Source organism: Homo sapiens, chromosome 1 (genome assembly GCF_000001405.40).
Source record: "Homo sapiens chromosome 1, GRCh38.p14 Primary Assembly".
NCBI classification, from domain to species: domain Eukaryota; kingdom Metazoa; phylum Chordata; class Mammalia; order Primates; family Hominidae; genus Homo; species Homo sapiens.
In genome coordinates this window covers 77500261-77516243 of record NC_000001.11, presented here as the reverse complement: position 1 = coordinate 77516243, position 15983 = coordinate 77500261, and the positions used below count along the sequence as shown (strand labels likewise).

The 15983-nt window shown below is 41.4% G+C and overlaps 1 protein-coding gene across 8 annotated transcripts in view, besides 1 other annotated feature; it reads right to left on the bottom strand.

Moving 5' to 3' along the window:
* AK5 (adenylate kinase 5) overlaps positions 1–15983 on the bottom strand; it is a 277948-nt gene that overhangs the window by 43723 nt on the left and 218242 nt on the right. For 2 of the 8 annotated variants that reach the window (XM_017001012.2, XM_047417740.1), the window contains exon 11: positions 11275–13588. The exons of the other annotated variants lie outside the window; for them this stretch is intronic. In XM_017001012.2, the coding sequence (XP_016856501.1) occupies positions 13566–13588 (23 nt within the window). In that variant the 3' untranslated portion in view covers positions 11275–13565. Of the gene's footprint in view, positions 1–11274; positions 13589–15983 lie in introns of those variants that run through there. 8 annotated transcript variants of the gene reach the window in all.
* Positions 931–1899: an enhancer, noted in NCBI's record as "OCT4-NANOG-H3K27ac hESC enhancer chr1:77980030-77980998 (GRCh37/hg19 assembly coordinates)". NCBI's record gives its function as "activates a minimal SCP1, AML or CMV promoter by ChIP-STARR-seq in naive and primed H9 embryonic stem cells {active_cell/tissue: H9 hESC(naive and primed)}" and the evidence as "EXISTENCE:reporter gene assay evidence [ECO:0000049][PMID:30033119]".

Genomic DNA, 15983 nt, shown 5'->3' with positions numbered 1-15983 from the left:
ACGTGAGATCATGCAGTATTTGTCTTTCTGTGCCTGGCTTATTTCACTTAGCATAATGTCTTCCAATATGTTGTCACAAATGGCAGGATTTCTGTCTTTTTATGGCTGAATAATATTCTATATTCTAGCACATTTTTTTACCCATTCATCTTTTCTTTCTTTCTTTTTTTTCTTTGAGATAGGGTCTTGCTCTGTCCCCAGGCTGGAGCACAGTGGCACAATCACAGTTCACTGCATCCTTGAACTCAAAACTCCCGGGCTGAAGCAATCCTCTTGCCTTGGCCTCTTGAGTTAGCTGGGACTACGGGTCCCACAGGTGCACATCACCACACCCAGCTAATTTTCAGATTTTTTGTAGAGACAGGGTCTCTTGCTATGTTGCCCAGGCTGGTCTTGAACTCCTGGCCTCAAGCGATCCTCTCACCTCAGCCTGCCAAACTTCTGGGATTACAGGCCTGAGCCACTGTGCCCGGTCACATTCATCCTTTTTTTTAATGATCAAGGTCGTCCTCAGCCCTTAGGTCCAGATCACATGTTTCCCCCTTCTGGCAGGAGCCAGACCTCTCACCCTCAGCTCTGTTGGAGCCAATGCTGTAAACAGCGCCGGGTGCTCCCTGCCTGTCTTACTCTTGGGCTGCAGCTCCCTCACTGGTCGCCGGCCCTGCAAGCTTCTCTGGGTGCCCTGAGCACATCACACAGCACTTTGCACATCGTAAGTGCACCATAAATGCCTGACAAAGTTTTCTTGCTAAAAGGAAACATTTACCATCAGCATGCAAAACATGATTGAAATTTTAGTATGGTAATGAGGATTTACAACTCATTCTGCGGTTTTCCTGGTTTGCCTTTTTTCATACTTAAAACTCCTTTCTTTGTGCGGTTGGCAACTTCCCTCTTAAGGGACAACATTAGTTGTTGACCCTTTCTAATAGAAGGGCCCCTCCTTCCCCCTTCTTTGCCTTGCCAGAAAATCCAGGAAAGGTCTGAGTTTTCTATCTTCTGCTCATCTATACAGCTGCTCTAAGCCAAATGGGGAGGAGGTCAGACCCCTCATAGTATTGTCAGGGAGTCAGGGATGGGCTGGATGTAATAGGAAAACAGCAATTATGGAGGCTCCCCAAAATAATGCAGACCACTTAAAGAAGCAGCCAACTGCCAGCTAATGCTATGTTTACTGTAAGCACTATGCCTCCCGTCTCTCAGTATAATAGGAATGGAGAGTGTGGGAACAAGGTGGCCACTCTGGAGAAGTGGTGCTTCCAGGTAAATGACTAAGGGGTGCAAGTGGCTGAGCTCCTGAAAAGGCCATCAGGGCTTCTGTGGCTGGATTTACCTGGAAATGCTTTTCCTGGGATGGTTGGGAGCCCTCCATGTGGAAAAGATATTTTCAGACTTGGCTTACAAGGCAAAAATGCCATGTTCCAATTATTTTCTTCCTTTAGCATCCTGCTAATATGACTATTACAGTTTTTGTTCCTCTAAAATGTTATTTAATAAATCTCGACACAAAGGCAATTAAAAATCTTCAGCTCAAATTAACAACAGCTGTGTGTTGAACAGCAGCCGCTGCCCCAGTTAGAAACTTTCGTGGGAGCAACAGCTGCAAATTTTTAGCATTCTTTGGCCAAATGGCGCAGGCACTGTGGAATTTTAAGTAATCTACACAATAGCTTGATTCTTCCCTTGGCTCCAAACTGAAAAACAAAGTGATTTTATCACTGCAGTGAAAGCACAAAAACTGCTGGTAGAAACATAAATTTTCATATACTGCCACCGACATATCTTTGAGGTCTTAACTTATGACTTTTAAATAAAAAAACAATGGGGCCTTGATATCCCTCCAGGATAATTTGTTACCCGGCAAAAGATATTTTGAGGAACCGCATCTCAGAATGAGTGGGCTGTGTCCTCTGGTGGCAAGACGACTGATGACAGACAGGAGCTGTCACATTTACTGTCATCTCACTCATTTTTAGTGTACCATTACCCAAGGCTCGAACCCCTGAATAAGCCCATACACCATACCACGTGATATGATTCACAAAGAGATTGTGGAATATGAGATTCTATTTTGAAGTTGTCTGTGAATACCTCAAAAAAAGGTGGAAAAATGTAAAAAGCGTTCCCTGTGAGGCCAAAGGTGCTATATATTGTGAAAAGTGCATGTACTGTGAACGCCCAATTTGCATCTGAGTAAGTCATTTCCCTACAGGTCTCGACAGCATTGCCACAGAAGGAAGGGAGGGGAGAGACTGTATGGGAATTGCCAGCCCAGGGAGTCTAAGTCTGCCTTCTCTTCGGTACCTGGTGTTCTTTGAGAAGTAGAACTGAAACCATCTGCATCACCTCGGCATGCCCACGTGGGTCACGTTTTCCAGTTTGCTTTGTATTGACAGGAGCAATCCTCTCCTGTGAGATAGCTCCTGGATTCAGCATCCTGAGCTGGACTCCTTAAGATAAGGACCAGCCTCCGCCTCCCAGGTTCAAGCGATTCTCCTGCCTCAGCCTCCCGAGTAGCTGGGACTACAGGCGAGTGCCACCACTCCTGGCTAATTTTTGTATTTTTAGTAGGGGCAAGGTTTCACCACGTTGACCAGGCTGGTCTCGAACTCCTGACCTCAAGTGATCCGCCCACCTCGGCCTCCCGAAGTGCTGGAATTACAGGTGTGAGTCACTGGGCCTGGCCTAAAATGACTTTTGTTGACATTTTATTGCATCTTACTAACTCCAGGATGTTACCTGGAATTAAGCATGAAGTTAATTAACACAGCTCTTTTTAAAGAAACATCTATTGGACAGCTAGAATGGGTTTGACACTGCTAAGCACTAGAAATAAAAAGACCCAGAACTGGGTCTTTTCCATCAGAGAGGTCACAATCTAGTGGGGAGGATGGACAGGGGAACCATCATCACAGCAGTGTGATAGGTTCTATGAGTGGGGGCTGTAAACACCATCGCAGAAGCACTGGCTGGGACTCCTTAGGAAGGGGAAGGGTAATTAATCACCTTTGCCAGCACAAGGAAAGTGTGGGAAAGATGGCATAAGGCTGAGCCTGGTGTCTTCAGTAATGGAACTTGGAGCATGAAAGGGCTCTGCATCTGCACAGGGGTGGAAGTGGAGGAGTATGAAGTATCATGAAGGGCACGGGATGGGTGATCTGACAATCAACACTGGTTCCACCACTTACTAGTCACGTGGTTATAGAGCAATCTTTTAATTTCTCTGAATCTTAGTTTCTTATCTGTAAAATGGGGGGAAATAATCACCAACTTTCTGCCTCATTCCACTTTAGGGTCTCCCTCCTCATCTCCCATACCTGATCAGTTGCCAAGCTCTGTCAAGTCTACATTTGAAAAGTCTCCAGCTTCATCCATATCCCTACAAAGGACATGAACTCATCATTTTTTATGGCTGCATAGTATTCCATGGTGTATATGTGCCACATTTTCTTAATCCAGTCTATCATTGTTGGACATTTGGCTTGGTTCCAAGTCTTTGCTATTGTGAATAGTGCCGCAATAAACATACGTGTGCATGTGTCTTTATAGCAGCATGATTTATAGTCCTTTGGGTATATACCCAGTAATGGGATGGCTGGGTCAAATGGTATTTCTAGTTCTAGATCCCTGAGGAATCACCACACTGACTTCCACAATGGTTGAACTAGCACATGTACCCTAAAACTTAAAGTATAATAAAAAAAAAGTCTCTGAAATTTGTCCCGTTCCCCCAAATGTCAACAAAAATGTTCCTATTCCCATCTCTCTGTTAAAATATTGGTGCTTGGCAAAAGCTATTTACAATGAAGGGGGGTTATACACCTCTATAGCTCTTCCTGAGTTACGTTGTCTGGCACATCAAGGTTTAAATTAAACATAATCCAAAGTCAGTAATGAATTTGGGAACTAGCCATTAATTCCAGACTTCCAGGCCACTTGCAGGTACTTAAGATATACCCGTGTGTGCACGATCTCTCTCTCTCTCTGTCTCTCTCTCTCTCACACACACACACATACGTATATATGTGACAGCGTATGTGAAGATATACGTATCTAGTTTAGAACTCAACGTTTATTTTCTCTAAGTTTCAAAGCAGAGAGAACAGTATTGTCTGGGTTTAATTGCTATCAACAAAGCTTTCTAGGCTTTAATTCCTATTCCACCCCAGTCTGAGAGGTATTTAAGCCTCCTCAGCACCAATGACCTTCATCACTAACCCAATTTCAGCCCCCTGCAGCTCTAGCTGAAACTGAGCGTTCGTTATTTGGATCTATTCTCCCACTCTGATAGCATCTTTCTCTCCCTTTCACTTTTCCCTTGACCTCACTTCTCAACTTGTTCCTTGCTGTCGTTATGACCTCACAGGGTTGGCCCATTCCCTTTGAGCTCCACTTACCTCCCTAGCTAGCTGGACGCCAGCCCCTTTCTAGCAACTTTGAATCCTTTGCCCTACTTCAGTTCTATGGAACCTGCCGTGTCACCATCAGCCTGCTCTCCCTGCCCAGGCCACCATAGGCTTTATTTGCATCTACTCTGGGCTGCTAAGAGTTCCCTTGAGAGAGTCCAAAAACTGAGCCAACTGAGTCATGCTATCTAACTTCATAATAGTTTTTAATGCTTCTTGGCAAATATCCTTCTTTCTCCTGGTATCAAGTTGGACATCAATTGGATGTCCATGAATGGATGCTAATATTTCCCACTGTCCTTCAACACATCCTCATTCCTCTCACTCTTAACATTTTTAACCCTCTTACTCACTAAGATGAAGACTGTCTCATTTCCTCAGCATTTTCAAAACATTGATGTTTCTATCCTTTGCCCTCCATCCTTCTTTATCCTGTTTGGAAAACTTTATGCCATTTAGCTTAAGGCTAATTTCTCTGCTTTGGCTCCCATAAAATACATACATATATTACAGATAACTTGATACCCTCTTTTTTGTCCAGATGAAATTTATTTCTCTTGGTTGGCAGCTTCTTTTCTGTGTAATGTCATGCTCAGTTTTCCCCAGTCCACACAATAAGGATCAGAATTATTATCTGTAAAATGAGGCAGTTACTGTTGGTGATGGTTAGAAACCTTTCTAGCTTATTCCTAGTAAAATTCCATAATCTTACAAAGGTTGGATGCAGCTTTTTTTATACTGTGGTACTATTTTACCAGCTATTGTGGTACTATATATATGATTTCCCTGCTTTGGCCCCGTAAAATATAAATATGAATATAAATAAAATAGAAATATATATAATGTAAATATATATATTATATTTTACAGGAGACAAAGCAGGGAAATTATATACATATAAAATATATTAATAGATAAAGCATATGTATGTACAGATACATGTATCTAGTTTATATGTATGATATATATTATTTACTTAAAATTTTGTCTTCCTTATTAGGCTCTATGGTATCTGAGTATGGGATCTGGGTCTGCTTTGCTCGTCATGGTGCACAAACACAGTGCCTGAAATATAATAGACACTTTATAATAGCAGCTGAAAGACTAAAAAATTTAATGATAAATGGATCCTCTCCTGCCTGTTCCAAGAACTTGACGCTCTCTTTTTTGTCCATATGAAATATATTTCTCTCGGTTGGCATCTTTTCTTCTGTATAACATCAGCTCGGTTCTCCCTAGTCCAAATGAAAATATTTCTACCATTGCGTGTGTCCTCTGAGTTATCTTTGTATTCTTTTTCTTTCTTTCTTTTTCTTTTTTTTAGCAGCGGAAAACTGCCTGTTTCCATTTCTTCTTCATTTATTGACTCCCTATCCTCTTGGAAACTATCTCATACCTCATCACATTCTGAAATTGCTCTTTTATAGTTCAACAGTGATTGCATATTTGTCATATTACTTTTTGGCTTGCTTCTAGTCTTTGATACCTTTGACTCTGTAACACCAACGACCAACATCTCAAAATTCTCTCTTTCTCTGGCCTCTAGCACACACAGTTTGCTCACGTTCTCTTCCTTTCTTTGCCAGGCTGAAGCTCGCAGAGGGCAGAAACCACTTCACTTAGGCTGGCATCCCCACAGAACCTGGCCCAGTGTCATAGACAATTGTTAACAAGAGCCAGTGTCCAGGAGCCTGTGGCCCCACAAAAATGACAACTCTGCTCCTTTCACATAAAAGGATCACTGGACCCAAGGGCTTGAGTTCCAGGTTCACACCTCAGGCCATTCTCCATCTGGTTAGATGACTTTGATCAAGTCACATATCTGCTCTGAGCTTCAACCTCTTCAGTTACAAAATGGGGGTGGTCACAATACCTGTTGGTTGTGAGGACAAAATAATGCATGTGAATCTCTTGGATTGGTAGCTGGCAAAGTGAAACACACAATAAACATCATAATTATTATCTGCAAAATGAGGCAGCTACTGTTGGTGATGTTTAAAAGTCTTTCTAACTCTTTCTAACTTACTCCCAGTAAAATTCCATGAGCTTACAAAGGTTGGACACAGCAGTTTTATATCCTGGTACTGTTTTAACACCTTTAAAGGTGCATAGCCTTCCCAGTTACAGCTTGTGAGAGGATCAAATATCTTTTGCAAATCAAACTATCTTATTTCTAATCTTCATATTTTAGAAATCTATCATATTTCTGCCTGTTGAAATATTTCTTTCTCCCTAAATGAAAATAGGTCCCTATGTTGGGTTAAGGTTTTTGTGACCGAATGACTCTTTTCTGAGAAAAATTATTATGCCATCAGATCATGAACTGACCGTGCCCTAAGAATGATCCTCAACCATTCTGGGCCCATGGGTCAGTTGAAACCTTCTCCATCTGGGAAGAGCTGCATCACTGTGCCAAGCTTCAGCAGGCTGTTGCTGGGAACTGACACTCTTGGACCGAAAACAATTGAGATAAATAGATCTTTATCCTCAAAGACAACATCTTTATTAGTTCTGAAAAGCACTGACTGCTTCAGGTTATTTGGTGAATATGTGGAAATATGCCAGGGTCAGCTGAAGGTTATATGGAAAAACTTTAAATGGGACTGGGAATGTCTTGATAGCAGAAACCATGCCTTATTTATCAGTGCCCGTGTATAGTATATCAGTGAATGAATGATGGACTATCTGTGAGCTTCACAGAGGCAACCCTGTACATGACAAGAAAGTCAATTAGGGGACCTTGGCTCTTGACCACTCCTGCTTTGAACTAGTCGAGTGATTCTGGGAGAGTCACTTTGCCTCTTTGGGTGCTAGCTTCTCTGTCTGTAAAGTGAAGAAGCTGAATTAAATGAGTGGCTTCCTGTGTTAGATTGTATTACTTTCTTAAATATCCCAGCTTTCCTTCCATAGTGCTTCTCCCCATGCCTGTGGAAGGATTACTCATCCCCACCTTCTTCTTTTTTTTTTTTTTGAGATGGAGTCTCGCTCTGCCGCCAAGGCTGGAGTGCAATGGCATGATCTTGGTTCACTGCAACCTCCGCCACCAGGGTTCAAGTGATTCTCCTGCCTCAGCCTCTCGAGTAGCTGGGATTACAGGCACCCACCACCACACCTGGCTGTTTTTCGTATTTTTAGTAGAGACGGGGTTTTGCCACGTTGGCCAGGCTGGTCTCGAACTCCTGACCTCAGGTGATCCACCCACCTCAGCCTCCCAAAGTGCTGGTATTACAGGTGAGAGCCACCGTGCCCAGCCTGCCCCAAACTTCTTGAAGTTAAGAGTTCCAAGGGACTTGTTTTGGTCAATGAAATGTGGGCAGAGGTGGATGTGTACTGGTTTGGAGCAGAGGTTTTTACGCCCAGCACATGGTATGCCAGGTCTTTTCCCTTTGCCATGAGACTGGTAATGTTTCGGCTAATAAGGGCTCCATCAGCATGGTTACCAGAGTGAAGCTGGGGAGTTGTTTGGAAAAATTCCTGAATTAGCAGATCTGTACATCTCTGGGCTGAGGCTTGGGAACTTATAGTTTTAGAAAATTCCCCAGGGAAAGTGTACAGACATCTGCAATTTACTTGGAAGTGGACAGGAAAAAGAGATGTACTGATGGATGAATAGAGGGACAGATAAATAACAAGACAAGATATACAGGTTGGAGCACTCCTTATCTGAAATGCTTGGGATCAGAAGTGTTTTATATTTTAATTTTTTTTTATTTTGGGATACTTGCATTATACTTACTAGTTGAGCATCCCAAATCCTAAAATTCAAAATCCCAAATGCTCCAATGAGCAGTTCCTTTGAGCGTTACGTTGGCATGCAAAAAGATTAGGACTTTGGAACATTTTGGATTTTGGATTTTTGGAGTAGGGATACTCAGCTTGTAGTAAGATGTTGATTGAAGACTAGGTGGTGGGTATACAAGTGTTCACTGTAATATTCTTTCAGCTTGCTGTATGTTTGAAATATTTTCATAATAAAAAAGGATAATTCCCCAGGTGATTCTGATGGTTAGCCTGATTTGGAACTTCTAGATTAGATAATCTAAGGAAGGCAATTTGCTGTGAACTCTCCAATGTCACTGCAGGAAGTCTTTGTTGATTTTTCTTTTTATATTTACAACGTAATAATGCTAAGATAATGGTTCTATCATGAATGAATAATTATTATGATGGTTAATAAAAATCCTTATTGCCTTATCAAAATCAGGGCCATACCTCTCTCTTGCAGATGAGAGGAATTTTTGGTTTTCTCAGCATAAAGCTGGAGAGAATAGTAGGGGAACTGTGGCCTATTTCACACCAGTGGTATAGTTGAGAGACCAAATATGTTTGAGAAGTCATTGCAGACTACTCAGATAAAAGTCACAATACTTTTGGCTTGATATTTTATCTAATAAATATCTGTTTTATGTGTTCTACTTGTAATTATTTAATTCTTACAACAGCTATTTGAAACAGGTGCTGTTTGTAATCCTATAACAAGATGAAGAAACCATGCCAAGGGCCAACTGTGTCCTGGTACCATTAAACTCTACAGCCTCTCATATGTGGGGCACTTCTGGCCTGTCTTTCTGGAAATCAGACAGACCTCCTTTGGGAAATGCACTGCACAGCCTGCAGTTGACTGGAATGGTCACTGGGAGCTGGGCTTTCATCATGGCCCCGTCAGGTGGCCAGATAAAATACAGGACACCCAGTCAAATCCTGCATGAGACTTAGACTAAAGGCCATGTCACTGTTTATCTAAAATTCAAATCTAACTATGGCTCTTGTATTTTCATTTGTTAAATCTGGCAACCTTATCAGGCCCCATTATTTATTAACTATGTGGTTTTTTTTTTTGAGACTGAGTCTCAACCTCTTACCCAGGCTGGAGTGCAGTGGTGTGATCTTGGCTCACTGCAGCCTCTGCCTTCTGGCTTCAAGCGATTCTCCTGACTCAGCATCCAGAATAGCTGGGATTACAGGCTTGTGCCACCACGCCCAACTAATTTTTGTATTTTTAGTAGGGATGGGGTTTCGCCATCTTGGCCAGGCTGGTTTCGAACTCCTGGCCTCAAGTGATCTGCCCGCTTCAGCCTCCCAGAATGCTAGGATTACAGGTGTGAGCCACCGTGCCCGGCCCCATTAACAATGAATAGTAGACTTTAGGGATGTGATTTCATCTATGTTCTAACTAACACTCTATGATTTTACAATTCATTCAGCCAACACCCACCATAGCCACAGCGAGATGTGAAATCCCTCATTAATCAAGACTCTGAAACCAAATGCCATGACTCCAGCTCTTACATGGACAGAAAATGAGGAAGGTTCAGGTCTCAGGTGACAGGAAAGGGCAGATACCTTTCCTGGTGCCTGTTGGTGGTGGTTCTGAAATGTTTTTACCCCATGAAGCTGGTGACCTCCTACAGCTCACAGCACCCTAACCCCATCTTCACCCTACCCCCATCTCTGAACAGAGACACAGACAAGATTTCCAAACTGCTCATAAGAAAACACCATTAAATCACTTGTCCTTTCAGCTGAATATGAATCTACAGAAAAATTAAAAAATTAAAAAAACCCCAAAAAATGAAAAAAAACAACCAACCAACCAACCAACCAACCAACCAACCAACCAAACACCGATCCTTTGTTTCTTCACCCAGAGGTCTCCAGCGCCTGTTCCAGACCCAGCTCATCAAGCACATTTATTTTTCCAAATTGACAGACCAGAGCTGCTTTTCAAAAGTCACTTCACTCAGGTTCTGCTTGCCTGGGTTTCTGAATTCTTGGAATTCATTGTTCTAGAGTGCCCTGCCTCTTCCAGATTTTTAAACACACCATTTTTCCTACTTTGTAGCCTACTTTGTACTAGGTCTTAGGCATATATTAAGTGTATAGAATAGGAAATTACAAATTTACCTCCTCCTTTCTATTTTTCCTTCTATTTATTTATTTTATTTTTTGAGATGGAGTCTTGCTCTGTTGCCCAGGCTGCCGATCTTGGCTCACTGCCATCTCCACCTCCACCTCCCAGGTTCAAGTGATTCTTGTGCCTCAGCCTCCTGAGTAGCTGAGATTACAGGTATGCAGCATGCAAGACCATGCTCAGCTAATTTTTGTTTTTTTTTTTTTACTTTATTTTATTTTTAGTAGAGACAGGGTTTCACCATGTTGGCCAGGCTAGTCTTGAACTCCTGGCCTCAAGTTATCCACTTGCCTCGGTCTCTCAAAGTGCCGGGATTACAGGTGTGCACCACCATGTCGGCCCTCTTGTTTTAAAGAAATACTTTTTTTCTCCACTGGGAAAGAAATATATGCTCCTTACTGAAGATTTAGATAATTCAGAAAAGTAAAAAGAAGAAGAAAAATAGTTTCGCTCCCCATAGGTAACTGCTAAAGACACATTTTGTTTTGTTTCTCTGCTGCTTTTTTCCTACATGTGGTTTTCTAGTTTGGTTTTCTTTGGGAATCTGTCTGCTCTGATATCTCACCTCTTTGGGCTTCTGGATTCTCATCTGAAAATAAGCTTGTTGATGGAAAATAAGTATCTTACTGTTCCAAGGTCATTTCCAGCACTATCACCCTAACTTTTGTCTTTGTCAGAGAACTTCGAGATTATCTGTGCTTGCAGTCTATTTGTGCACAGTAAAGGGAAGTGAGACATTCAGGGCAAATGTTAGCTGGATTACATCTGAGGTTTTATGTTCAATTCTAGACCACATCACGGAAACTGGAAGTCTTACACATTGTGATGGGAACATAAAACGGGCACAACTGTTTTGAAGGGCAATTTGGCAATATAAGTAAACAAATCTTAAAAGTTTAATTCATATCTGTGAATTTTACCGTAAGAGAAAAAAATCACTGTTTTAGGACACAGATATTCATTACAGAATTTTTAATAAAAGCAAAAGTTGAAAAAATAATGTATTATGACAACACAATCATAGGTATAAACTGAATAAATTCTATTACAGCAAAATAAAGGAATAGGATGCAGTCATTAAAATGATGTGCTGAAAGAAGACAGCTAGAAAATAATATATACAGTTATATAGTGTGATTCCATCTATGGAAGTTAAAAAATGCCTATGGTAGTCCTTGCAGGGAGTAGTGATGAGGAGGAGACACAAGGGAGATTTCTGAGGTTCTGGTCACGTTCAATTTTCTGATCTTCATCTTGGTAAGACACATGCGTCCAATTAGTGAAATTTCATCAAACAGAATACTTAAGACTTGTGCACTTTTCTGTTTTTGTATTTCGGTTGAATTACAAAAGAACTTTAAAAAATGACATGGCATATTCAGGAATACTATCTTGGAAAGATGCCCATGAGGTTTTGTTAAGTATAAAAAGTAGGTTTTTAAATTATATGATCTCATTCTGATGAAAAATGTATATTAAAAAAAATATATATATACACAGAAAAAAACTAAGAGGAATATAAATCAAAATACTAATAGTATTCATTCCCAGGTATTGGGCTGTTTGTGATTTTGTTATTGTTGATACACGTTTTCTAGAATGAAGATGTATTATTTTTTGTAAAAAGAAAAGAAATCCTTAAATTTAAAAATGTTCTCGCCAATCTGTTTTAGGAGAGATTTGGGCTGCATGTGTCTAAAGAGACATGACTTAGGGGGAAATAATAAAAGTAGAATTTATTCATTCATTCCACAAGAAAATGTGAGGAATCCACATGCGCTAGGCAGTGTAAGGACTGGGGACACAGAGACAAGAAGATAGCACTCTGCTCTTGAGGAACCTGCAATTTACAACAGAAAAAGCTGCATGTTTTTAATTGGATGAAGACATAAATCACAAGAAAAGTGTATATGTCTTCAAATATTTGAATCGGCAGGGTGGAGAGAAAGCTAATTTTCTCTGTATGGCAGGACTAGACTAAACAGTGAAAAATTTTTTTCAACCCCATTTTTTTTTCTTTTTTTTTTGAGACAGTCTCTTGTCACCCAGGCTGGAGTACAGTGGCACAATCTCGGCTCACTGCAACCTCCACCTCCTGGGTTCAAGCAATTCTCCTGCCTCAGCCTTCTGAGTAGCTGGGATTGCAGGCGCCCGCCACCACACCTGGCTCATTTTTTTGGTATATTTAGTAGAGACAGGGTTTCACCATGTTGGCTAGGCTGGTCTCGAACTCCTGACCTCAGGTGATCCGTCTGCCTCGGCCTCCCAAAGTGCTGGGATTATAGGTTTGAGCCACTGTGCCCGGCCTCCACCCCAATTTTTAATAAAACCTTATAGACAAATCTATCCAGTCTTAATCAGTTTAACCATAAGGTGAGCTTCTCATAAACCTTTTATAACCCTTTACAAATTCTTGTTAAAGAGCAGATCCATGCTCTAAGAAAACCATGTTGTGCTTTATTCCAAAAGCATGGAAAAAACTGAATAATACCCCTTTAAATTTAGCCAATATGTTCATACACAGAATCTCTTTTACAATTAATTTTTCACAAACCTTCCAAAACTTGCTCAAACATTTAGGTTTATCATATCTAATTTAAAACAATCCTTTAGCCCTCTAAACTAGGCAAAAATGTACATTCCCGTATCTTCTTATAATCTTTTACTAAAAGCACATTTCACTTCCTCACAGGCCTGGCATGTGAAACTGATGGTTTTTAGTAGTCTTAATTACATGTTACAATGTTAACTCTCAGCAATTTTTATCTTTGGTGAAAAACCTGATAGGTGATTTTAATTATGTACTAGATATAGAGCCTAGGACACCAGACAGAAATGCCTAAATATTGGAATTTCTGACAGAGCAGGTTTTGACGCAGTCTTAGGAAGACTTTCCTATGGACAACAGATGCCCAATAGAAACACACCATCTCCTCTGCTGGGGAGACCAAGTGGATGCAGCCAGCGTCTTCTACTAGGGCTCAAGGCTAGGACAGTGCCACCTGAGTTCACCTATACCACAGCAGGGTGTGAGAGGGGGTGGCATTCCTGGGGCTTTGGTGAGTAGTCCAAGAGGGATTGTTGGGCAGCTCCAAAAGAAGGACTTCAAAAGCAGGGGTGCAGCTTCTGCCTACTTGCTATGTTCTCACTTTGAGAGTAAACTGTAGGCCTCTGGGAGGTGCAGCTAAACTCTGCTGCTGCCATGGACATAGTTGGTAACAGCCACTCCACAGATGAGCATCTTCTTCCTATTGTTTTGGTGAGCATGGTCCTACCAGGGAAGATTAAAAATCAAAACTTTTTTTTTAAAAGCCAAATCCACTTTTCCTGGATTTTCCAGGAGGAGGCCTACATTAGACTCTGTCATAGAAACATGTTATCTACTTTCTCCTTCTTTGTAAAAAATTAAACCTCATGATTTTTATTGTGGGCACAAGGCTCTCTGAAATACGGACTACATTTATTAGCCTCCCTTGCAGGTGAAAGTGTCCTCCTGACCAATGAGATGTTAGTGGAACTGGTGAATGCAACTTCCAGGCAGGTCCTTAAAGGGAAGAAGCAAGTTCTTCTGCCCCATTTCCTCTTTCCTTTTTAATGGGCTTAGGACATAAGGGCTGGAGCTTCAGCAACCATTTGGGACATGAGATAACTCTGGAGAAGCCACTCAAAGGAGCAGAAAAATATAGGGAACCTGAGTCTCTGAGGCCATAGCATGTCATACCACTGCTATGACTGCTTGTACCTAAAATTTACATAAAATAAATTTCTACCTTGTTTAACTTCAGTTATTTTTTTAAAAACTTTCAGCCAAACAAAATCCTAACTGATTCAAAGTTCCAAGTGGGGCAATTGTTATTAGTCATCTATTATTAATAGGATAGTGAATATCCTGACACTCAAAATACTGAAGTCAAGACTAGATAGTTATCTGTCAGTGATGTTCAAGACTCACTTCTTGACTTGATTAGGGAATTAAGCTAGACTAACCTCTCTTTGAGCTCTGTGCTCCTCCTGCCAAACAGGAGTGAGTGAAATAGGCACAGTCTCTGATTTTACACTATCTAGTGATGTTGTGCAGTGCTGGGGCTGATATTTTAGTTCAGGATTCTTTCTTCTTTGGAGAAGACTAGAAGACAAGGGCTCTAATTTTGTTTGACCTGAGCCCTACTTTAAATGTAAACCTTTTTCTATATTTGCATCCTTCCACCCTTACATTCATGGACAGTATTAAAAGAAAAAAGTAAAAGGAGAAGGGCTGCATAACAACATTTCGCTCAATGATGAACTGCATAAAGGATGGTCCCATGATATTATAATACACTGTATTTTTACTGTGTCTTTTCTATGCTGAAATACACAAATACTTACCGTGGTGTTATTATGTATTTATACTATTTGTTATGGTAACATGCTGTATGGGTTTGCAGCCTGGGAGCAATAGGCTATACCATGTAGCCTAGGCGCATAGTAGGCTACACTGTCTAGGTTTGTGTGAGTACACACTAGGATGCTCTCATAACAAGGAAATTGCCTGATGAGGCATTCCTCAGAATGCACCCCTGTTGTTAAGTGATGCATGACTGTATATGGGAGAATTCGTGGAGGGCAGTTGTCCTCCTGGTGTTTCCTTGCCTGCCCTGCTCACCAGCTCTGGACTGGTCTTCAGTCAACATCACATTCATGCATCTAGGCCTTTCAAGGTTTGGCCCATCTCCTTCCCGTTCCTGGGCTACGAGGGGCATAGCCCTACTGCTGTGATTTGCTCCTAACTTGGAATCTCCCTGCTTGCAATCCCTCTCTCCTCAGCCCTCTCTCAAACTTAGGGAATCCCATCCATTCTTTGAGACTCCCCTCGATTCTCAGCTTTTCTAGGAAGAGACTCCAACCATTGTGGTTTCTTTGTCCTCTTACCCCTGGTAACCTTCACCGAATGGTTCTTTTTCAGTTAATTCTACACTGCGCTGTATGGGCTCTGAAGTTTTCATAAGCATGAATTCTGGCTTCACTGAACAGATTATAGGTTCTGGGATGGGTAGGAACATAAAAAAAAACAAAACAAAACAAAAAACGAACTTCACTGTACTTATCACAACGATGGATAATTCAGCCTTTGCTTGTTTTTTTGTTGCTGTTGTTGTTGTTTGTGAGATGGAGTCTCGCTCTGTTGCCCAGGCTGGAGTGCAGTGGTGCAATCTCGGCTCACTGCAACCTCTGCCTCCTAGGTTCAAGAGTTTCTCCTGCCTCAGCCTCCCGAGTAGCTGGGATTATAGGCACCCACCACACCTGGCTAATTTTTTAATATTTTTAGTAGAGACGGGGTTTCACCATGTTGCTCACTCAGGCTGATCTCGAACTCCTGACCTCAGGTGATCTGCCTGCCTCGGCCTCCTAAAGTGCTGGGATTACAGGAGTGAGCCACCGTGCCTTGCCTTCTTTTGTCTTTAATGGACACTTTATCAACACATCAACTCCAGTACACACTCCATTCTTTGAAGGATGGTGACATTTGGGACCTGTATCATCAATATAACTGTTATCTGTTTTGTATTTTGACTTTGCTTCCTCATGGTGCCAGCTACCTAATGGTGGACTAAAACCTGAGTCTAATACGGAAACCGTGTGCTACTTTACTAAGCCAAATTTACCAAAAGCTGTATCTCTTTTTT